We start from the raw sequence: 25,166 nt of genomic DNA on the forward strand, positions 1-25,166 counted from the left end.
CTCAAAATTGGCTCATCTAATCAGTGTAACTACAGAGTCTTTCAATCCTCAAACTCCCAATGTCCATTTAGTTTGTTTAAAGCACTTATCACAAAGCAATTTAATTTTACGTGTCTATCTGGGATTTTTTTGTTTGCTTGTTTATTTAATTTTGTCACAAAAGGAAAGATCCAGGGACAGGAACCATGACAGCTGTGTCTATGCAGTTACGTCATTATTACTAAGCATGCTGCTGAAGGAAATAATTTATGAAGTGTTGACTGAGTAGATAAAAAAATCTTCAGAGTAAAATTGATACTATAGTAACTTATTTTTCAATCTCATGGAAATGCTCTGTAAATCATACAAGGATTTCACAAGGAAGTATATACAATATCTGATTTTTGTAAATTCTCCTTTAGGACATAAAACTCTGGTAACGTGTTGACTTTTATTAGTAATTTAGCATTTAACAGTAAAACAGTTGATTGAAGGACAATAACACTGCCTTAACAGCTCACATATTAGGCTTCTGTCATACCTTCCACAGACAAGTAACATCCAAATCCCTACATTCTCATTTTAACGCTCTAAAACCTAAGTAGGGTGATCATTTACAAATCTCTATTAATTTATTCAATAAATATTCATTGCATACTCATTATGTACAATATAATGTTCTGGGGGGGGACATTTCGGTGATCAAAAAATAGAACAAAACTTGCCCTCTTGGTGCTTGCATTGTGGATGCTGAAATACTATGAAAATCTCCTCCAATATCATCCTTACCATCTAGGCAGTATGTCACGTCTATGTCAATGTCAATATACAAGTGCTTTCATATGTAAGCTATATTAAAACTCTCAATATTAGGATTTGGAATTGGTGATTTGGAGATATATATGTATATATATAAAAATTCATATAAAATTTTTATTTCGACAGATTTAAAAGAAAAAAAAGTCTAGTTTTTTTTTCCATAGGTGTAACTACCTACAGACACTTATCTCCTAAAAGATCTAAAATATTTAAAATTAATTACATCATCCTAATCAAGTGATATATCCAAATTCTGTTTAAAGTATAGTTCATGGACTAAAGATTGTTTGCAAACAGCTATCTTATACCCAATAAGAATACTACTGTCTCTTGATAATGACATAAAGATGATGGTTCATACATGAACACACACACACACACACACACACACACACACACACAAATTCTATTCAATCTTGGCAAAATTCAATGTAAGTATGTTAAAAAGGAGCTTTGAATTAAACACATTTGAATATTTGAATGTAAGAAACAGGAAAAGTCTATGAAACATCCTGCAGTTCAAAAAATTGTGAAAAAACTATAGGTCAAAATTATGTTCACTTTCTCTCAATATTTGTATGATATAGCATACATGAGTTTGGTTTAGAGTTTTAAAATATATGACACTATATGTTTTTATTTGAGTTACTAGACATATTAAACATAAGCTTCTTATGTCAACAATAGAGTAAAACACCATAAGCATTTGTATATATAATTTATAGACTATGTAAGTATATTATAAGAATTATTTCACGCCTGTAATTCCAGCACTTTGGGAGGCCGAGGCGGGCGGATCACGAGGTCAGGAGATCGAGACCATCCCGGCTAAAACGGTGAAACCCCGTCTCTACTAAAAATACAAAAAATTAGCCGGGCGTAGTGGCGGGCGCCTGTAGTCCCAGCTACTTGGGAGGCTGAGGCAGGAGAATGGCGTGAACCCGGGAGGCGGAGCTTGCAGTGAGCCGAGATCCCACCACTGCACTCCAGCCTGGGCGACAGAGCGAGACTCCGTCTCAAAAAAAAAAAAAAAAAAAAAAAAAAAAAAAAAAAGAATTACTGCCTTATTACACATGTTAAAATAGAATAATTAGGTTGAGAAGGCAATGGATAGTTTACTTAATTTAAAAGAGAAATAGACTTGTTAGAATGGAAAGTTTAGTCCGGGCGTGGTGGCTGACACCTGCAATCTCGGCAGTTTGGAAGGCTGAGGTGGGAGGATCACCTGAGGCCAGGAGTTTGAAACCAGCCTGGCCAACATGGCCAAACCCCATCTCTACTAAAAATACGAAAAATTAGCCAGGCATGGTGGTGGGCTCTTGTAATCCCAGCTACTCGGGAGGCTGAGGCAGGAGAATCACTTGAAGCTGGGAGGTGGAGGATTCAGTGAGCCCAGATTGCACCACTGCACTCCAGCCTGAGTGACAGAGCGAAACTCTGTGTCAAAAAAAAAAAAAAAAAAAAAAAAAAAAGAACTGAAAGTTTAAAAGTTTAATCATTCCGCATCTTTGTTTGCAACATAGCAATCTCCTTTTACTCTAACCGCAGAGAATTTGTTGAAGTTCTGTCTCTAGCACTCTTCCCTTCTTTTCATATAATTCTCCTAATTTTTTGTCAGAATTAAAATTTTATATCTAGATTAAAATTTCACTGTGATAGCACCAATAATCTTTTTACTTAGTAGAACCATAAACGTGTAGCTCTCAGAGGTAGTGAGTTATTCTCTATGCTGTGTTCCTATGAACATCAATATAGTATTAAGCTATACTTATTTATTATAATGTGATCAAGTGATCTGAACCAAAACCAAGTATCCATTTTTGATAAATGAAATTTGATGCCTGTAGGATCATCACTTCCATCCACAAGTCACATAATCATTTCTGTATTTTATATCAATACCATATCTTTGTGGATTAGACCCATTGCTCATGCATTTGAGGTTTAACACATGACTTTTTACACACTATCCACTCAGTACTAATTAAAACACATGTATGTGATAAAAATACGTATAATGATGAAAAAATCTTTCAGTCATTTAAGGGAGATACAATCCTAAGCAATTCATAAATCTGATCTCAAATATATGTTTAGGTTAGAATCAGCACCAACATACCACCTCTTAAAAACAAAAAAAGAAAGACATTTAAGAAATGTTTTCCCTAAATAAAGAAATGAATGCTCCTTAAGTTTTATGTCTTTTTTCTTGTGTTTGTTTCTCCAAAGGTCTCTGTATGAGAAAATGAGAAAATAACTGATACTAATATTTTACTCCATTCCACTGTCTGATTTATATCCTTTATATTATACTTGTGTGTTCCAAAATTTTGAAAGCGAATATGTGGTTTAAGATATTTAAATAGACATAGTAGTACTCTCTTATAGTTTATTCTTGCTGAGAAGATAAAGGAGAGAAATCTATTTTGTTGATATTTTCTCATGGAATAGTAATCAGATATTTAAGTTATGTAAAAGTAAGAAAGTAGTTAATATATTGCATGATACACTACTATAAAGATATAATATTTATATATAGCATGATAAGCTAGTATAAATATATAAACAATATATAATAATATATATCCTATATATAATATATAGCATCTACATAAAACAATATATATAATATATAGCATGATATACTAACATAAATATCTTTTTTTTTTGGAAAAAGAAAATCTTTATCTTCTGATGTAGTTATTTTTCCTCCAAGCCAATAAATCTCCTATAACAGAAATAAGGTATCTCATGGTTTTCCGAAGCTGACCCGAACTTGCCTCTAGCTCTAGAGGACATATCCGCCTTCTTATGTCACTCTTTAGACAAAGCAGATAGGTGATCCAGTTAGAAAGGCAACGAGACTGTTAAGTGGGCCTGAGAGGTTCTGCTTACAATTCTGTTACACACATATTCTTCATGCCAAGGGCATGGCTGCAATTTTCTAACTGTTAGATAAAAATAATGAAATATGTTCTTCTCATTTTAATATTTTTTTCTGATAGGCTATGCATATGACCAATGGAAAAATGATTTTTTCTTTTTATTTCTATTGCCTTCACTTTATTTATAACAAATATTTACTCAGTGCTTGTAATATATTCAGCACTCTGCTAACCACTGGATACAAAAGAGAAAGAAAGGAGACAGACTTCTTTATTTTCTGGAGTTCCCAATCTGGTAGCCAGACAGACAATAAACCAGATAATTAACAATCATACAAACAGAGAATATTAACAGGAACAGGCTGGTGTGACAGATATTTCCTTAAAAAAGCATTAGTAATATTGTTGAGAAGATATGGGTGTTTCAGGTAAGGATTTAGCTTCAGATGCTCATTCTCTCCAGTTTAACTATTACATTAAGTCGTAGTGAAATAGCAGTGGTACAAACAGCAACCAACATTTACTGGCCCTTAATCAATGCCAGATACTGCTCTAAATACTTTACATATATGAGATCATCCAGTTATGAAGCTTACAATAAAACCATCCACGAAGGGTCAAGATAATAACATGATTGTAAGACAGACAGGGGACCCTGACCATTTGAGTTCAAGCCCAAAGGCTGCCAAATGCTGACTTCCAAGTTACTCCACATTTCTGCATCATAGTCTCTTCATCTGTAAAATAGGGGTCATAGCACATAATTTATGTGCTTGTTATAAGGATTAAATGAGACAACATATGCAAAATGCACAGATCAGAGCCTCCCTCTGTTGACGGCAATGTGTGCTTTTATGATTTATTCCTCAATTTAACTATAGTATTTTACTACTAATAATACTGGATACCATCACTCTTGTTTCACAAATAAGTATAGTACAAAAAGATTAAGTCACTTCCTTCAAATGACACAGCTAAAAAAGGTAACAAGCCATGTTGGAACTCCATAATTTTGTTTCAAATATGCCCTGTCTACCACGAGGAAGTACTGTGTTTCTTGGGGCTCATCTAATTCTAGATTTTCTGAAATGTCAAACCAATATAAAAAAAATAGGAAATTGAATTCAACAAAACATACTTTAAAATTTCTTTAAGCATTTTGGTCTCTAAAAGAAACATCTTATACTCACACACACAAACACATAAAGCTTAAAGTGTAAGATATGACCTCTACTTTGCTGCTATCATCCAGGTTTTGGTAGCATGACCTTGTTTGTCTTGTTTCATTTTGTCTCCTCAGATTCCAAATGAGGAGGGTATGTTATAAACTGTCATCTGCCTACACATTTTAGAAAGTATTGCCTATGCAAATCTCCCTACTTGGTATTCTGAAAGAACATCACTAGTGACCTATTTTGTTCAGTGTAGATGATGTGAATTTGGTATTTTGTTACCGAAGTTTGTATAGTTTACAAGAAAAATTTTCTTCTCAGGGATGGAAATATAGAATTTGCCAACAAATCTACCTTATCCTCAGTTCCTCTAATCTTCCTAAATATTCAGTCAGCTGCGTCAGAAATACTTCTTGAATGCATCTTTTCCTGTTTTTCCATGCCTACTTCTCTAACAGATTTAAAACTCACATCGCAATAACCACTCGATTTTTCATATCCAGTGTTACTTAAAAATACTTTTAAAACATATTGGCATACTTGAATGAAAAGAAAACAAAACACTGATTGATTCCTAACTCTCAGCTTGAAAGAAATTTATGTTCATAACATGTAAGGTTCTTCACAATGTGACCCAATTCTACTTTTCTATCTCTACTTCACCTCACTTCCGTCATTTAAGAGTAAGCCAAATTTCCCATGTTTGTCAACTACATACCACTTATATTTATTTTCACCTTCAGTTTCCCAGGCCTGAAATTCTTATCCATGTCTCTTTATCAGGAAAAAGTATAGACATTTTTCCAGTCCAAGTCTAAGTCCTGTCCTCTGTGAAGCCTTTCTACTCCTCCAGAGTTAAAATTCACCTCCCACCCTTCAGTTCCTCAGTCAGTGTTGACATCGATCACAGTACTCGTTGTAGGCTTTTTGACTTACTTTGTTTTAATCATTCATGTGATTTGTAACCTTCATTTAACTGAACTGTCCTGAAAACATAGTATGCTGTCAATTAGTTTTTCTCATACAGACTTTTAAAAGTATAGTTTGTGTCACGCTTGACACATACTTTATGTTCAATAAATGCATGTTGAATGAATGAACTGAACTGAGCACATTACAAGATCCAGGCTACATGGGTTTAAGTGGATTTGTGTTCAGATCACACCAAATTTAGGAAGCCATTACTCCCCTTCTTTTCTTCCTTCTTCCTCCTCCTCTTCCTTCTTCCTCCTCCTCTTCCTTCTTCCTCCTCCTCTTCCTTCTTCCTCCTCTTCCTTCTTCCTCCTCCTTCTCTTCCTTCTTCCTCCTCCTTCTCTTCCTTCTTCCTCTTCCTCATTCTTCTTCTTTTTCTTCCCCAGAGCAAGGTTGGTAAAAATTCATTTCCGTGAAACAAGTCATATCAAATTATTATTTAATGGTTATTCATCATCCCTGTGCCCAAGGCAGCTACGTCATTCCTTTCCTTAATACTTGACCCACTGAAGCTGCAAAACAAGTGTTTACTTTGTTCTTTGAAATAAAAAGTACCAGTACCATGCTGTTTTGGTTACTGTAGCCTTGTAGTACAGTTTGAAGTCAGGTAGCATGATGCCTCCAGCTTTGTTCTTTTGGCTTAGGATTGACTTGGCGATGCGGGCTCTTTTTTGGTTCCATATGAACTTTAAAGTAGTTTTTTCCAATTCTGTGCAGAAAGGCATTGGTAGCTTGATGGGGATGGCATAGAATCTATAAATTATCTTGGGCAGTATGGCCATTTTCACGATATTGATTCTTCCTACCCATGAGCATGGAATGTTCTTCCATTTGTTTCTATCCTCTTTTATGTCATTGATCAGTGGTTTGTAGTTCTCCTTGAAGAGGTCCTTCAAGTCCCATGTAAGTTGGATTCCTAGGTATTTTATTCTCTTTGAAGCAATTGTGAATGGGAGTTGACTCATGATTTGGCTCTCTGTTTGTCTGTTATTGGTGTATAAGAATGCTTGTGATTTTTGTACATTGATTTTGTATCCTGAGACTTTGCTGAAGTTGCTTATCAGCTTAAGGAGATTTTGGGCTGAGACAATGGGGTTTTCTCAGTATACAATCATGTCATCTGCAAACTGGGACAATTTGACTTCCTCTTTTCCTAATTGAATACCCTTTATTTCCTTCTCCTGCCTAATTGCCCTGGCCAGAACTTCCAACAGTATGTTGAAGAGGAGTGGTGAGAAAGGGCATACCTGTCTTGTGGCAGTTTTCAAAGGGAATGCTTCCAGTTTTTGCCCATTCAGTATGATATTGACTGTGGGTTTGGTACCAGAACAGAGATATAGATCAATGGAACAGAACAGAGCCCTCAGAAATAACGCCGCATATCTACAACTATCTGATCTTTGACAAACCTGACAAAAACAAGCAATGGGGAAAGGATTCCCTATTTAATAAATGGTGCTGGGAAAACTGGCTAGCCATATGTAGAAAGCTGAAACTGCATCCCTTCCTTACACCTTAGACAAAAATTCATTCAAGATGGATTAAAGACTTAAACGTTAGATCTAAAACCATAAATACCCTAGAAGAAAACCTAGGCATTACCATTCAGGACATAGACATTGGCAAGGACTTCATGTCTAAAACACCAAAAGCAATGGCAACAAAAGCCAAAATTGACAAATGGGATCTAATTAAACTAAAGAGCTTCTGCACAGCAAAAGAAACTACCATCAGCGTGAAAAGGCAATACACAAAACGGGAGAAAATTTTCACAACCTACTCATCTGACAAAGGGCTAATATCCAGAATCAACAATGAACTCAAACAAATTTACAAAAAAAACCACAAACAACCCCATCAAAAAGTGGGTGAAGGACATGAACAGACGCTTCTCAAAAGAAGACATTTATGCAGCCAAAAGACACATGAAAAAATGCTCATCATCACTGGCCATCAGAGAAATGCAAATCAAAACCACCATGAGATACCATCTCACACCAGTTAGAATGGCAATCATTAAAAAGTCAGGAAGCAACAGGTGCTGGAGAGGATGTGGAAAAATAGGTACACTTTTACACTGTTGGTGGGACTGTAAACTAGTTCAACCATTGTGGAAGTCAGTGTGGCGATTCCTCAGGGATCTAGAACTAGAAATACCATTTGACCCAGCCATCACATTACTGGGTATATACCCAAAGGATTAGAAATCATGCTGCTATAAAGACACATGCACATGTATGTTTATTGCGGCTGTATTCACAATAGCAAAGACTTGGAACCAAACCAAATGTCCAACAATGATAGACTGGATTAAGAAAATGTGGCACATAGACACCATGGAATACTATGCAGCCATAAAAATGATGAGTTCATGTCCTTTGTAGGGACACGGATGAAACTGGAAATCATCATTCTCAGTAAACTATCGCAAGGACAAAAAACCAATCACTGCATGTTCTCACTCATAGGTGGGAATTGAATAATCAGAACACATGGACACAGGAAAGGGAACATGACACTCTGGGGACTGTTGTGGGGTGGGGGGAGCGGGGAGGGATAGCATTAGGAGATATACCTAATGCTAAATGACGAGTTAATGGGTGCAGCACACCAGCATGGCACATGTATACATATGTAACTAACCTGCACATTGTGCACATGTACCCTAAAACTTAAAGTATAATAAGAAAAAAAAAAAGAAATAAAAAGTAAAAGCTGGGCATGGCGGCTGAAGCCTGTAATCCCAGCACTTTGGGACGCCGAGGCGGGCAGATCACGGGGTCAGGAGATCAAGACCATCCTGGCTGACATGGTGAAACTCCGTCTCTACTAAAAATACAATAAGAAATTAGCCAGTCATAGTGGCGGGCGCCTGTAGTCCCAGCTACTCGGGAGGCTGAGGCAGTAGAATGGCATGAACCCGGGAGGCAGAGCTTGCAGTGAGCCGAGATCGCGCCACTGCACTCCAGCCTGGGCGACAGAATGAGACTCCATCTCAAAAAAAAAAAAAAAAAAAAAAGTAAAACTTTTATATTTGAAATTCATTTCCTTCAGAATGCAAATCATCTAATTATTGAAATTTTTATGTTAAAGGAAGAAGTGCTTATTATGAAAATAAACTTATCTAGAGCTGTTTACCTGACTTCCTTGAATTCTGCACTCACATTTTAACTTGAATGTGAAGTAATGCAGAAGAGAGATATTATCTATGTATCAATCAACTTTATGCATTTCTACTCTGATACTTTTATTGAGAATTTCCCCATTTGGTTTAGTCACGGTTATGAATTAGCTAGTCATGGAGGCCACTGCTAGGAATCTCTTCTGAGAAGGCTCTATGACTTTGCATTGTCCTTCTGGCTCCTGTCCACCTCTTTAAAGCTATACAGTAATCAGAGTAGTCCCCATCCTGAAGCTCTCTTTCTCCCAACCGATAATACGGATGGTATTGATGAATATGTATCCAGAATGATGCTGCAGGGAGCAGTTTTACACATGACAGTCCATTTACAGGGAATCTGGGGTAATCTATCACTTCCTGTATCAGTCAAAAACCTCCAACTCCACCTTTAGCCATGGGTGGGCTTAGGAAACAAATGCTTCTAGACTCATTATCCTAAAAGGGAATAGTACTATCTCTATCTAAAGTAACAAAGATCCAAATAAATCAGACACTGCTGTTGCTTTAGTCAGATGAAAAGATGCTTCTTCTTTTCCTCTTAGGCAACATTTGCAGCAACTAGGAGATATCCTCCTCTTAGCACTTCTATGTTGGGTTGCCACTTTTCCACTCCAGCTGCCTCTTCAGTTGTTCTTGAGGGTAATGTTGCCCTCACACCAGCCCCAGGGTTCCAACCCTATCCACTGTGAGTGCTACTGTCTGTCCAGTCAGTATGTTCACTATGGGGACATGATTGAGGTACACCTCAATTGATGAGGTCAAAGAGACTGCATGTTGACTAAGTAGAATTTAGACATTGTGTCTTATTTTGGTGAGCAGAAAGAAATGTACAGCATATGTGAAAATTTACTTTATATAGAAAAATAGACAATCTGCAGATTTAAAGCAAACGACTAAGGTAAAGCAGTAATTTTCCACCAATGGATGAATGGTTTAGCCAATTTGTATGTCCAAAGAAATCAAATTTTAATGGAATTAGATATTTTAAATCACTTCTTTTTATGGATCGAGGAAATTATTAAATTTTCTAGAATTCTAGAATGGAACTCCCCAGTGGTGAGCTGGTAGATTTTTCAAACCAAGCACTGTACAAACATTTTTCCCACTTCTCTTCTAATAGAATGATAGTTCATTTCTGTAGTATTGCATGCTTATGGCTTGGAAAAAAACAAGTGATGAGTTACATAAAAAGCTTGTGAAACTTTTGAAACTACTGGCTACCATGATCTTAATTTATTAACTACCTATCATGATGATGGTGATGACGATGCTAATGATGATAATGTGCGTGTGTAGAGAGTATCCCAGATGCGTATTTGTATATGATACACAGTTCATGTTATATGAGTATCATGAATGATGAAAACTAGAAAGTAAGTAGGGAACTAAGCCTCTATTAAACTGGTTTTCTTTTATCTTGGTGGGAATTGGTACTGTAAAAAGAATAAGAAGACTCTGTATTCTAAACTTTTTAAAGGACATCATATTTAAATAAGAAATTAATCTTTATCAAATAAGTTGGATATGTTTTCCAATAAATCTCTAACTAGAAGGAGGATAAAGAAATGGAGAGCTTAAGAGAAAAAATTGCCTTTGAGATTATTTTCCACAGATATATTTTCATTTATGATAATTACATTTGTACTAGTTGAAAAAAAATCTTTTTTTTTCTCCTAAAATCTGCTTGGATTATGAGGGGTTTTAAATATCTGGAAACATTAGGGCCACATATTTAGTTGACTTTATGTGCATGTATGCTGTAACTTAATTTCTATAGAAACAGATGAGAAAAACCAGAGATATAATATTTATGACAAATATGTTTCTATAATTACAAATAATAATGGAATTACAAAATATAAACAATTGGATATAAACTCAAATAAGTACAACACAGTTATAGTACCTGTGATGGTTAGTTTTGTGTCAGTTAGACTGGAGATGGGTGTCCAAATATTTGGTGAAACATTATTTTGAGTAGGTCTGTGAGAGTGTTTCTCAATGAGATGAACATTTGAATCAGTAGTCCCATTCAGGAAGATTTTCTTCCTCCCCAGTGTAGTTGGACCTAAATAGAATAACAAGGCAGAATACAAGAGAATTCACTCTCTCTGCCTGACTGTCTTCAAGCTGGGACATGAGTCTTCTCTTGCTTTTGAATTCAGATCAGGAGTGGAACTTACACCATTGGCGCTTTTGATTTTCAGGCCTTCATGTTTGGTTTAGCATGATATCACAGGCTTTCCTGGGTCTCCAACTGGCTAACTACAGATCCTGGGGTTTCTCATCCTCCCTAACTGCTTGAGTCAATTCTTTATAATAAATCTCTTTATTTATTGGTCTGTTTCTCTAGAGAACCCAGACTAATACAGCAACCATATTATTTACTAAAGGAACATGGTAAAAACATGCATGAATGCTAAGCAACAAGGAGACCTTGCAAGTAGCAATTATTGTGCTTGTATGAGACACTATGATTTCGCATACTTTGAAGCATTTTGTTAATTGTGGTTATACCTTAGCTATATCTGAGAAGGCAATACTGCAGGAGAAATATTAGAGATAATCTATTTTCAACTTCTATAGTCATTACTTTGAAGATCTCTAGCAAGTCTTACCCTTTTCTTCCTCAACTAAATAAATGTGGGGTGGGGGGAATATTCCTGAGATTACTTTTTCAAATGACTGGAGCGATTTCAAACTTCTGACATTTTTCTACACTAATGGAAGATAAACCAAGCCCCTGAGCCTCCTTGCAAGATGGCAAGATTTTGAGCCAGAAGCAATGTAAGTATGTCTAGCTAAATCAAAAGAGTAAGTATATCATGTGTGGTGGGCAAACATTAAGAATATGTCAGACCAAATAGCACAAGACACAACTAAGAAGATTACTCCAACCCAGTGCTTACAAATCAATAATGTACATACAAATCATCTGAAGATATTTCTAAATGAAGACCTGAGTTGAAGCCTAAGATTCTGCATTTCAAACGAGCTTCCAGGTCATGCCAACAAAGCTGGTCTGCAGATTACTCTTTGAGTAGAATGACTCTAACAGCCCAGCTGAGGTGCAGGACTAGAAATGGACTTCCAAAAAGCTCCCAGCCAGAACCTTTTAGATCTGGAGTGTGGCCCCAAATCATAGATCAAGTAGAACATTGCAATTGTTGCAAAAAAATTTTTGAACTATTTCCCAGCCCATGTTAAACCTACAAATCTATAAATTAGAATGTTTGCCCTCCACACCCCAATTTCCATGGGAAAGACTGCTCACAAAAATGTGTCGAAATTTTTTTTTAAAGCAATACTGCAGTTAAGCTACATTTTCTAATCTTTTTTATACACAGGCATAACCATACCTCCATGTTATAATCAGCAGAATGTGGGCAGAAGTGATATAGGACATTTACAGGCCTGCACTATAAAAACCTGCAGTGTGCTAGCCTCCCCACCTGAGGTCCTAGAGCGATATGGAACCACACATGAAAAGAATAGGGGTCTCCATATATCTGCATGGATCAGAACCACCAGTCCTACAAATACCACTGGATTGTGTAGTGACAGATATATAATTTTTGTATTTGAGTTAACCCTTGAGATGCCAGAATCGTTTGTTATTGGAGTTGGCCTGACCTGACAGAACAGCCCTTGCTCTCCTCTGTAGGGACTTACATGTCCCAGCGCTCCTATGCACCCAAGGCTCCTTCCCTGTAGTGCCCTGACAACTCTTCTTCCCTGTCTTAAGTTGGCTCCATACTCCTCATCCTTTAATCATGTTGACTTTTCTTATAACTCTGATATACCGCCAGATAATTATTAAGCTAGAGATGTGTATGTTAAATGACATACTTGGGCTAGGCATGGTGGCTCATGTCTGTAATCCTAGCATTTTGGGAGGCTGAGGTGGAGGGATCACCTGAGGTCAGGAGCTCAAGACCAGCCTGGCCAACATGGCGAAACCCCGTCTCTACTTAAAGTACAAAAATTAGCCGGGTGCAGTGGTACGCACCTTTAATCCCAGCTACTCGGGAGGCCAAGGCAAGAGAATTGCTTGAACTCGGGAGGCAGAGGTTGTGGTGAGCAGAGATAGTGCCACTGTACTCCAGTCTGGGCAACAGAGCGAGACTCTATCTCAAAAAAAATGAAAACAAATACAAACAAAAACGAAAGACATACTCAAAGGCACTGATATCTAACATCATGTTTTTCTCTCAGGGATAATTAATCAAAATGGCTTCATTCAGAGCAGGCACCGGCCAACTTTTATTTTCAAGAGACAGACAGAAAATCAGATAGTAAATATATTATGCTTTGTGGGCTATGCAGTCTCTGTCAAAACCATTAAACTCTGCTGTTGTAGGTCAAAAGGAGCCACAAACAAGAACTGAATGGGCATGTCTGTATTATACCAAAGTATTATATTTTAATAAGAGACAGTCAGCTGCAAGCCATAGTTTGCCTACTTCTGATCTTGAAACTGAATCTCCACTGAATTTTGGAAACCAAAGTTATAGCAACTAAACCCATAACATTTTCAAAACAATTCTAGTATTATATAAAAACATTGTTTTTAATAATTTTTAAATAAATAATGCATAGTATTAGACTTGCATGCATTTTATATAAGAATTCATAAAAAGGAAAAAAATTCCATTATGTTAAATGTAGGTATAAATTTAACTTTGTAAAATGTGGCCTGGGATACTTTGCCTCCCGGGTTCAAGTGGTTCTCCTGCCTCAGCCTCCTGAGTGGCTGGGATTACAGGCGCTCACCACCACCTAATTTTTGTACTTTTAGTAGAGACGGGGTTTTGCAATGTTGGCCAGGATGGTCTCGAACTCCTGACCTTAGGTCATCCTCCCACCTCGACCTCCCAAAGTGTTGGGATTACAGGCGTGAGCCACCGTGCCTGGCCTGATTCATGTCTTTTATTAGATTGGGAAAACTTCTCATCTGTTAGCTCTTCAATAGGGCCTCTTCTTCATTCTTTACAGTCTCCCCATATGGAATTCACATTAGATATGTGTTATATCTTCCTTCATTCTGCCTTTCATGTCTCTTTAATGCTCTCTTATCTTTCCCATCTCCCTGTCTCTCTGTGATACATGCTGGCTTATGGCTTCATATCTTGTGCTAGCAGTTCTTAGCTATGTTACTCAGCTCTTAAGTTATTCATTAAAATATTAATTTATGAATATATTTTTGTCATGTATTTTTTTCAGACTTGTCAGATATATTGTTTTTATTGTTATTGGGTTTTACTATTTTTATTCCATTGTTCATTTCTGAAGCATTGATACATATATATGATGTATATATAATTTTAATATTCTGTATCTGAAAATTTCAATTACTGAAGTAACTGAAAAATCTAAACTTGTGAATAATTGTTTCTGTTAAATTTCACTCGAGGTAGCCCATTTTCTGATAGCCTTTTTGATTGTTTGTTTAGATCATAATTAAAATGTGAGAAGCCTAAGGAACCAGGATTAAGGGTTAAGGAAGCATTCTTCTAGAGAAAGTTTGTATTGTACCTGCTAAGTCCTAGAGATGAGTACAAACCTCGAGATAATATAAAGTCGAGGGGGCAGGACAAAATTTTCAAGAGGCTCAAGGATACAGTACTTGTAACTCCAATGGCCTGATGTTCCTTTTCCTGTTTCCAGCCATTAGTCCCCAGAGCTTCAGCTTTCAGGCAGTGCCAGTTGTCTCTAAGGGAAATTCTGATTTTAGCTTTCATTTTCTACTATTTTTTCAACTCCCTGTTTCTGAAATTTACTTCACCATACTGGCTTTCCATTATCTTTTGCAAATTTAGAAATTCAAAGAAAATACATCTTTTTGTAACTTAAGGCATAGCTAGGTTGCCTGTGGGATTTTATTTCAGAACATACAGCCTGTGAATTTACTGGATGCGACGTCCTCATTAGGCATCTTTTTGCATAACCAATGAACTCATTATTCATGAAAAATAAATAAAAGAAGGCTAGAGTATGGAGGTAAGGGTTGAGAAGAAGTAAATATAGAATATGCTGTCATTAAGAATAAAACAGTAGATAACTTGAAATTAGAGAACAAGATAGAACTTAGAAACATATATTATCATATGCTTCTAAAAATATGCTTCTAAAAAATAAGTTGTGTGTAGGGTGTGTGTGTGTGTGTGTGTGTGTGTGTGTATCAGTCAGGAAGAAGTGTTTGCAGATTTAATTTTTGTTTATGAATTGCCAGATCTTACGTGAAATCATAAGCAACTGTAATATATTATTATAAGATAAAAGCATAGTGCTTACTTGTACTATTTGTACAAGTTTCATCCAGAAAAAGAGATTTCAATTACATTTCCTTGAAAGACTAGTTGACATGTATATGAAACAAGTAATCTTTATGCCTCAAAGCTGACCCATTCTTTTCTCTTTTTTGACTTAACAGAAAATCACTTTTTCTTCAAATCAGAAATAATAATATTATATCTGTATCCATATATCTGTCTATGTAAAGAGATATAGTTCATTGGTTATATAAAAAGGTATCTAATGAGAACTTCTAGTAAATTTGCAGACTCTGTGTTCTGAAATAAAATCCCACATGTAACTGAGCTATGTCTTATTTATATATGTAACATAAATATAATAAATAGCTTATTCTTGCTTTACAGAACGAGCTATCTATATTAAAACAGTAGAAACAACTAGAAATTTCCACATCTAATAAACATTAGCAAATATTGGTATAAATAATTTTTTCTCTCAAAGTGTGAACCTTCTCCTAGTGGAGAAATAACCATAGGACTTTCAAAAATCTTTTTTACATGTAAAAAATTACAGTTTTTCTCACTTGTTCTGCTTTTCATGAAACATTTAAAAATAATGCAATCTGAAGAACAAACATACAGAAAGAAAAACATATTTATGCTTGTATTAAAACAGTACTTCTTCCAAAAAGATATTAAATATGTTACAACCTTAAACACAGTCTTAAATTGGGCACTAAAATCCATTAACAGAACTGAAGACTTTTTAAACCATGAGAAATAAATGTGTCTAAGCACTTATCTCGTTGCTTATAATCAGCTTGTTCCTAGAGGTGAACCCTGGATTTTGAGTTTACCGGCAGTTAAGGCAGAATAAAAATGTTACATTATAAAATTTTCATTGCCTGATAAAAGAAAGCAAAGAAATTTACACAGAAAAATATTTTCCCACAATACTAGCATTTGATCTTCGCTCTCTCAGAAGCTTAAATATGTTCATTTAAAGCATTCGCTTGTAAATTTGGGCAAATCAAATGGTGCCCTGCACTGCTGGCACTGAGGCCTGCCTCACCTAATGCTACTGGGGGCCAGGTGTAGGTAGAGCATTAGGGATATAGTCAGATGTTATCTTAGGTCAAAAATAAGTGAAGCAGTAAATGAAATGAATGAATAGTGTTAAAAAAGATTTTAAAAATTGAATCCAGCTTTTAGTGTCATATTCCTCTAAATTGTTTCATTTCCCATTATTTCTATATGAAAACATTAATTTGATATCTGATTTACATTAAGAACATTAACAAGATAAAATATTTTAAATGTCATCCTTTCCACTAAACATATTTAAAAGTGAAATGAATATGCATACTTACCATTTTAGAATGTGAAAGACATCGTGTCGTCTTTTTTTTTCTGGAGGAGGAATTTGTGATGTGTGAGATTCATTATTCTAAATGTGAGTGATCAATTTACTAAAGCTGTAGAAAGTGTGAGGAACTGATCTGTATTCATTTATATTCACATTCTGCACTGTACAATTCTTCACAATTCAGTGACTATGAATTTGCACAAAGTTCAAAATCTCTTCCTGATCCACAAAGTGAAGTTCTGAACTAGATTCAGAAAAATCATGCACTGCTTTTCTATTATTTCTCCAGTTTGGCTGCTTTTGCTGCCTCTTCCAATGGGCATGGAGGTGGGTGGATGTCCTCTATGTATCTCAGTATTAGTTCCAGATAATTCTCTCTCTCGTCTCCCTCCCCCTTAACCTTTAAAGTTCACATCACGACACTACACAAGTCACTACGCTTATCAGCCCTCATTCCTGGAAGATTTCCTCTTTTGGTTCACCCACTGCCATACTCCCAGGAATCATTCCAGTCATAATTGTTGGTAATTTCAGTTACCATATAGATAATTTCCTGATACTTTGAACTCTTAGGTTGTTGATCTATCCTCCTATGATCTTGTCACATTCACTTCATGAGCCTCTCTCCTGCTCATTCGAAGATGTTTTCATGATTAATAACTGTATCTCTTCCATTATCTCCATTGTAAGCCTAACACAATATACTTGTCCTTTTAGCTTACTGCTTCTAATGCCCAACACCAACATGTAAAAAAATTTCTTGAGGATTGAGGTAAAAGTACAATTAAAATTTGTATTCAACTGATAAAAAGACAATTACATTATAAATTTGTTTTATCATCGCTAAAAAGACAAAGTATAAATTTATTAAAGATAATTACAATTAAAAATTTAAAAAATATAATAAAAACATAAATCATCCAAAAATATTCTTTTAATGAATTTTTCTCCAATTAGTTCACTGTCTTTGGATGAATATAACTTATTAATGAATGAAAGAGGTTCAACATTAGATATATGCTACCTTTGCAGTATAATGTGTGGGATGAGAAATATATTCATATAAATAAGTAGAAATAAAGAGATTTGGCATAAAAATGTTACTTAATTATTGAACAGATTTTGAGGTATTTCCATCAAAAACCCTATCACATTGATTTATCTTCATTATATTTGACAATAGCCCAATTAGATACAACCTTCAATTTTGCAATAAGGAACTAATCAGAAACCAACAAAACTGCCACATGTTTCATTATCTATTCATTAAATATATTACATCTCTCACTTCGAGGAACATGCCTAAAAACTTTTTAGTAAAACTAAGTGATTGCTTGATATACCTCTTATTTTCTCTTGAAGACCTACTTTGTTTAATAGATATATTTTAGGAAAAGCTGGGATACTTGATAGATGGCAGAAGCATATGATATATAAAATGCTTTCTTTCTTTAATATGCTTCATCCATATTTTTACCATAACCTTGGAGCCCAGGATTTACTTTAATAAATTCATTAAAAAGTCTTCCATATAGCCATCCTAAGAAAGATGTAAGAGAGGTGCATGTATGAGACATAGATTTTTGCCATATAGTCATTGGCTCTATATTCTTAATCATGTCTCTTCCTCAGAAAAAGTGCACTTTAACACCAGTCAGGGGGTGAAAAATGGAAGATCCCTAGATGGAACTTGTTAGCACTCTGATCTATCATTCTACAAGATACCTAAATATAAAACATTTCAGCTCCTTCAGAATAACTTGCTTCATGCTTAATATTAAATCCCTCATATACATATATGATATATAAATCCTACTATGAGTTTTTGATGTTCAGTTGGAATTACTCTCTCTTTCTCCTCCCTGAAGGTTTAAACCCTTAAGACAATGCATTTTGAAGATAAAAAACTATGATTTTACATTAGAAAGATGTAGTTTACCATAACCAATATTTCTAAAATGCTCCATCCAATGAGCATCTCTAAGTTTTTATAGTACCTAGTGTACCTTATAATCTGTTTGTCTCATTTCTCAATTACATGAATCTATCCACAACACAAAATCTGAGTTATCAACTTTCCGGGTTCACAGAAGCTATATCATCAAACTGTCTAATATTTACTCTTACTTTAATTACAGCTAAATTAATTATTTATAGACCATTGTTTAAATGATATATTCCTCTCACCATTACGGCCAGAACACTGAGTTAGACGTATATAATAGAGTATTCATTTGTTAATCTTCTTCAAAATCACTTTTATTTAACCTCAATTAAAAATAATCCTCATTATTTTTAGGGTGATACAATATTAAGCTAGATTGAACAGGTTTCTGGCCAGGCGTGGTGGCTCATGCCTCTAATCCTAGCACTAGAAGGCCAAAGTGGACAGATTGCTTTAATCCACGACATTGAGACCCACCTGGGCAATATGGCAAAAATTCACCTCTACAAAAAACAAAAATTAGCTAGGTGTGCTGGTACACACCTGTAGTCTCACCTACTTGGGAGGCTGAGATGGGAGGATCACTTGCTTGATCCCAGGAGGTTGAGGCTGCAGTGAACCGTGATTGTGCCACTCACTCCCTCACTCCACTCACTCCAGCCTGGGCAATGGAGTGAGACCCTGTCTCCAGAAAAAAAAAAGAAGAAAGAAAACAAAACAAAAACACAAACAAAACCTAAACAGGTTTCCTCTTTTACTCTAAAACTGTTTTTGCAGCATTCTTTCTTTTTTTTTAATACATCCAAAAAGTACATTTTAACGTATGACAATTTTTTTTTTATACTTTTAGTTCTAGGGTACATGTGCACAACACGCAGGTTTGTTACATATGTATACATGTGCCATGTTGGTGTGCTGCACCCATTAACTCATCATTTACATTAGGTATATCTACTAATGCTATCCCTCCCTCCTCCCCCCGCCCTATGACAGGCCCAGGTGTGTGATGTTCCCCTTCCTGTGTCCAAGTGTTCTCATGGTTGAATTCCCACCTATGAGTGAGAACATGTGGTGTTTGGTTTTTTGTCCTTGCGATAGTTTGCTGAGAATTTTGCAGCATTTTATATTGTTTTCCTCCATAATCTCCTTAGGAAGCTCTACATAACAAATTTCTTTGGCAATTTGTGTTAAGAAGAGCTTTGTTTCTTTTAATTACTGATTATATTCTTATATTTGAAACTGGAAAGATATAGATATAGATATATAGACATATCTACCTACCAATTCAAGATCAATAAATGAACAATTTGCTGCAGTGTCTCGAAGCAAATGAAATGTCGGGGGAATTTGGTAGTTTGTTGAATAAGAACCTTGCGTGACATTTTGATTGAACTTGGACTTTTAATTACAACTACCAAAGTAGTGAGGCTGTGTTATTCAAAAGAAGTGTCATTAATTATGAGATCACTTTATGTTTTGGAAGTATTATATGCTAAAAGAGAATATAGATACTAAACAATCAGTTTTATATCTAAATATAAACAAAATTCTGTGTTTCCCCCATGTATGAAGATTATAATGAAAACTAGGTCTGTCCTTGTGAGTTTCTCAGGACATTAAACTTACACCATTAATCATTAAGGTGGCATATTTCATTTAAAGAGGGCAATGTATTAGTCCTCTGCACTCTGCAAACACATGCCCTGTACTTCCCTGATCTCTCGGGAATACTCTGACCTACTGGAGGATTCATGGAACAAAGTCAAAATCATACTGCAAAAGATAGGTCACAACTCTGGACTAACTGTAGAAATTCACATGACATTCTGGAAGAGCCAAAGTTCTTCATTAGGTTAATAGACAAGATATGAAGAAATATAACAGAAGATTTGTACTTCTCCAAAAAAATACTGATACTATATTAAGTAAAATTATATTGAAAATTTATCTATATATTGTGATACTGAGCTCTTATGAAGTATATTCAGAAGAGCACAAAATAATATACAAATTTTACTGGATTAATGTAATGGTCTTGTGATTAGTTTACCTGCAAGCAGGCAAAACCCACATTAAACTGCAGTTTGTATATCTTAAGGTATTTTAGACAAGCTTGCATGACCTTCAAGTGTGAGGATTACACGCAGCACAATAGAAATAAATGAGAAATAGGTCAGTTTGTAGAAACTATTCAAGAACATGCCCTTGCCTTCTTCATGCTTGCAACTAACTTCCAAAAATAATTAGACATTATAAATTATGTAGCATACAGGCAAAGGCAGAGAGCAGGTTTATAACCTTAGAAAACGTTCAGCAAGAAGCTTAACCATCATCACATCATATATTTAGCTGTGTCTTCCTGTTTGATTCCAAAACGTGCTAAAAGTCTTCCCTCTATACTTTAGTTTTTTATGTTATGAAAAAAGGCATTTAGCCTTGGGTAACCTCTAGTATACGGATTTGTAATACTATATTTTGTAAGGCAAATGCAATTTTCAATTTGTTATGAAGTTTTCCATTTATGCCATAGATAAAATACCTACTGAGTTAATTAAAAACACACATGAATAGAATTGGACCCACAAAAATGTATAAAAGGCAGCAAGTTATTTTCCTTTAGAAAACAAAAACACTATGCAGAAGCTCTTTAGTTTAATTAGATCCCATTTGTCAATTTTGTCTTTTGTTGCCATTGCTTTTGGTGTTTTAGACATGAAGTCCTTGCCCATGCCTATGTCCTGAATGGTAATGCCTAGGTTTTCTTCTAGGGTTTTTATGGTTTTAGGTCGAACGTTTAAGTCTTTAATCCATCTTGAATTGATTTTTGTATAAGGTGTAAGGAAGGGATCCAGTTTCAGCTTTCTACATATGGCTAGCCAGTTTTCCCAGCACCATTTATTAAATAGGGAATCCTTTCCCCATTGCTTGTTTTTGTCAGGTTTGTCAAAGATCAGATAGTTGTAGATATGCGGCGTTATTTCTGAGGGCTCTGTTCTGTTCCATTGATCTATATTTCTGTTTTGGTACCAGTACCATGCTGTTTTGGTTACTGTAGCCTTGTAGTATAGTTTGAAATCAGGTAGTGTGATGCCTCCAGCTTTGTTCTTTTGGCTTAGGATTGACTTGGCGATGCGGGCTCTTTTTTGGTTCCATATGAACTTTAAAGTAGTTTTTTCCAATTCTGTGAAGAAAGGCATTGGTAGCTTGATGGGGATGGCACTGAATCTGTAAATTACCTTGGGCAGTATGGCCATTTTCACGATATTGATTCTTCCTACCCATGAGCATGGAATGTTAATTTCCATTTGTTTGTATCCTCTTTTATTTCCTTGAGCAGTGGTTTGTAGTTCTCCTTGAAGAGGTCCTTCACATCCCTTGTAAGTTGGATTCCTAGGTATTTTCTTCTCTTTGAAGCAATTGTGAATGGGAGTTCACTCATGATTTGGCTCTCTGTTTGTCTGTTGTTGGTGTATAAGAAACTACCATCAGAGTGAACAGGCAACCTACAGAATGGGAGAAAATTTTCGCAACCTACTCATCTGACAAAGGGCTAATATCCAGAATCTACAATGAACTCAAACAAATTTACAAGCAAAAAACAAACAACCCCATCAAAAAGCGGGCGAAGGACATGAACAGACACTTCTCAAAAGAAGACATTTATGCAGCCAAAAAACACATGAAACAATGCTCATCATCACTGGCCATCAGAGAAATACAAATCAAAACCACAATGAGATACCATCTCACACCAGTTAGAATGGCGATCATTAAAAAGTCAGGAAACAACAGGTGCTGGAGAGGATGTGGAGAAATAGGAACACTTTTACACTGTTGGCGGGACTGTAAACTAGTTCAACCATTGTGGAAGTCAGTGTGGCGATTCCTCAGGGATCTAGAACTGGAAATACCATTTGACCCAGCCATCCCATTACTGGGTATATACCCAAAGGACTATAAATCGTGCTGCTATAAAGACACATGCACACGTATGTTTATTGCGGCATTATTCTCAATAGCAAAGACTTAGAACCAACCCAAATGTCCAACCATAATAGACTGGATTAAGAAAATGTGGCACATATACACCATGGAATACTATGCAGTCATAAACAATGATGAGTTCATGTCCTTTGTAGGGACATGGATGAAAGTGGAAATCATCATTCTCAGTAAACTATCTCAAGAACAAAAAACCAAACACCGCATATTCTCACTCACAGGTGGGAATTGAACAATGAGATCACATGGACACAGGAAGGGGAATATCACACTCCAGGGACAGTTGTGGGGTGTGGGGAGTGGGGAGGGATAGCATTGGGAGATATACCTAACGCTAGATGACGAGTTAGTGGGTGCAGTGCACCAGCATGGCACATGTATACGTATGTAACTAACCTGCCCAATGTGCACATGTACCCTAAAACTTCAAGTATAATAAAATAAAAAAAAAGAAAACAAAAACACATTTTTGCAATATAAAATTTCACTTAAATTCTCAAACCACTGGATATCTTGCCCAAGTAAAACAACTTTCTTTCCCTTGCCTCTTTTGCTAATACAGAGACATCTGAGCTGCTACTCAAAGCCTGTCTTTTAATATTTTAATCATAATTTTTAATTGTGATTTAATAAGCACATAGAATGATGCTTATTAAAATGTTTAAAGAAAAGGGCTCCTTTCTAAACAAAAAATTCAGCGTAGGTTTTAAAGAAAGTAAGTATTTTGACAGTTTATGTTCTTGTTGTTAAAGAATTACCGTAGTGTAAATATTTCCTTGCAGGTCGAGGTAATATATATCACCAATATTGTTCTTCTGAAGCTCTACAATGAGTTCACTCCCTTTGAAAGTTTTGCTGAACATAATATTTTATCAGCCTCTGTAAGAACAATGCAAAACCAGTCTGTTCATCTGGACCAATGCCAAGTATAAGCTATTTGAGCTAAGTGGATGTTTATAGTTATTCTTAAATTTACTTGTCAATAATTTGACCAAAGAGTAACGTTGATCATACCAACCAAGCAATGTAAAGCTGAACAAAAGAATGATCAAACCATTCTCACGCTGAAGATTCACTTTAGGATGGAGTAACAGACTCCATAAATACCCAATAAATTATTCCATTTCATTAGGGTATGGACTAACTCTTTAGGATATAGAAAGAATATATTAAAAACTAACTGGGCATTTGAAGACGGTCAGAGGATCTAAATTCCAGAAGCAAAGCAAAAGTAGAGGAAAAGTTTACTGAACTTTCAAGGTAAAATTATTCCTTAAAGATCTGGTTTTACTCACACGAGTTGAAAGATAATTGATTAAATTAATTTGACCAACTCCTACTCTAAGCAATTTAAGCACGACAAAATAGGCACTAATCAGAGGATACAGTATAGTTTTTGAGAGAATTAAATCTGTGACACATTACTCCTTGCATGATCACATGAGTATCAATTAGCAAATGACTATATTTACTGATATGCATTAAGGTAACTTTGTTTAGAATGAACTTCAGTTCTCCAAGTAAAACCATTAGCAATTTAAAAACACATATATTAACAGGCTAAAAAGCAAGGACCTTACTGATAAGGTCGAATGCTACAAAAGTGATACACGTTTTAATAGGTAAACTGTTCTTTGCTTCACAATCATTTCAGTTGCCTTACGTTGTTTAAATAATTCTGTACAATAGCACTTTCTGTGACAATGTGAAGGCTTATATTATCTAATGCAGTATACACTGGCCATAGAGATTTCCTGAGCATAGGAATGAATATATAATTTTAAATTTTTACTTAAGGTTAATTAATTTAAAGTGGAATACCCACATGTGACAAATAGCCATAGTATTTCAAAGCACAGGAATAATTAGAGCAATTCAGTTCTGCAAAAGTATCCTATAAAAATTATTCTAATTTCCATATTTAATTATAAAAGGATATATATATATAATCTACATTGTAGCGCTCAAAATATTTTCTTATATTTAGACTTTTCTCTTTTATTGTCATCGAGCTTTAAAACTTCAAGAACCTTGAATAAATAATACAAAAATCATCTACCATCATCAAAGATGTATCGTGATATATGAGCATAAAACCTAGAATTAAAAAAATCATGATGCAAATCCCAGTCAAACAAAGTTTCAAGTAATACTTCAAGAAAAAAAAAAAAAACAGCACAGAGCTTCTTGAATTAGAAAAAGCAAAATGTGAGAAGTATAAATCTTATATATTTAAGCACTCACTACATCACAACTAAGAAAACAAAACCAAAATTGAGAAATCCCTTATTACCTTGATTTACGCGAACACTTGCCTGCATTTGTATTTTGTACACAAACTTCTCTTTTCTTAAATTTTAAACTATGCATTTCCTGAACAATAAGATTATTTTGGAATTGTTTCATGAATTTTTTCTGCATTAGTTTTTGTTTCCACTATTTTGTGTTTAATGGAAGTTAAGATATTAAACACTACAAACTAAAAATAAAGCAATTCAAAACTATTTTTCAACAAATCGTAAGTGTAAATAAAAGTATAGTAGTTTATGAGAGGTTAAAAATGAAGCAGGACACAGTAATATGTTTTAAGT

The 25,166-nt window shown here is 35.2% G+C and overlaps 1 protein-coding gene across 4 annotated transcripts in view; it reads right to left on the reverse strand.

The window, feature by feature from the left end:
• The window catches only part of SGCZ (sarcoglycan zeta), a 1,153,587-nt gene that overhangs the window by 153,241 nt on the left and 975,180 nt on the right, over window positions 1-25,166 (reverse strand). The window lies entirely within an intron of this gene.

The sequence above is a fragment of the Homo sapiens genome, chromosome 8, assembly GCF_000001405.40.
Source record: "Homo sapiens chromosome 8, GRCh38.p14 Primary Assembly".
NCBI lineage: Eukaryota > Metazoa > Chordata > Mammalia > Primates > Hominidae > Homo > Homo sapiens.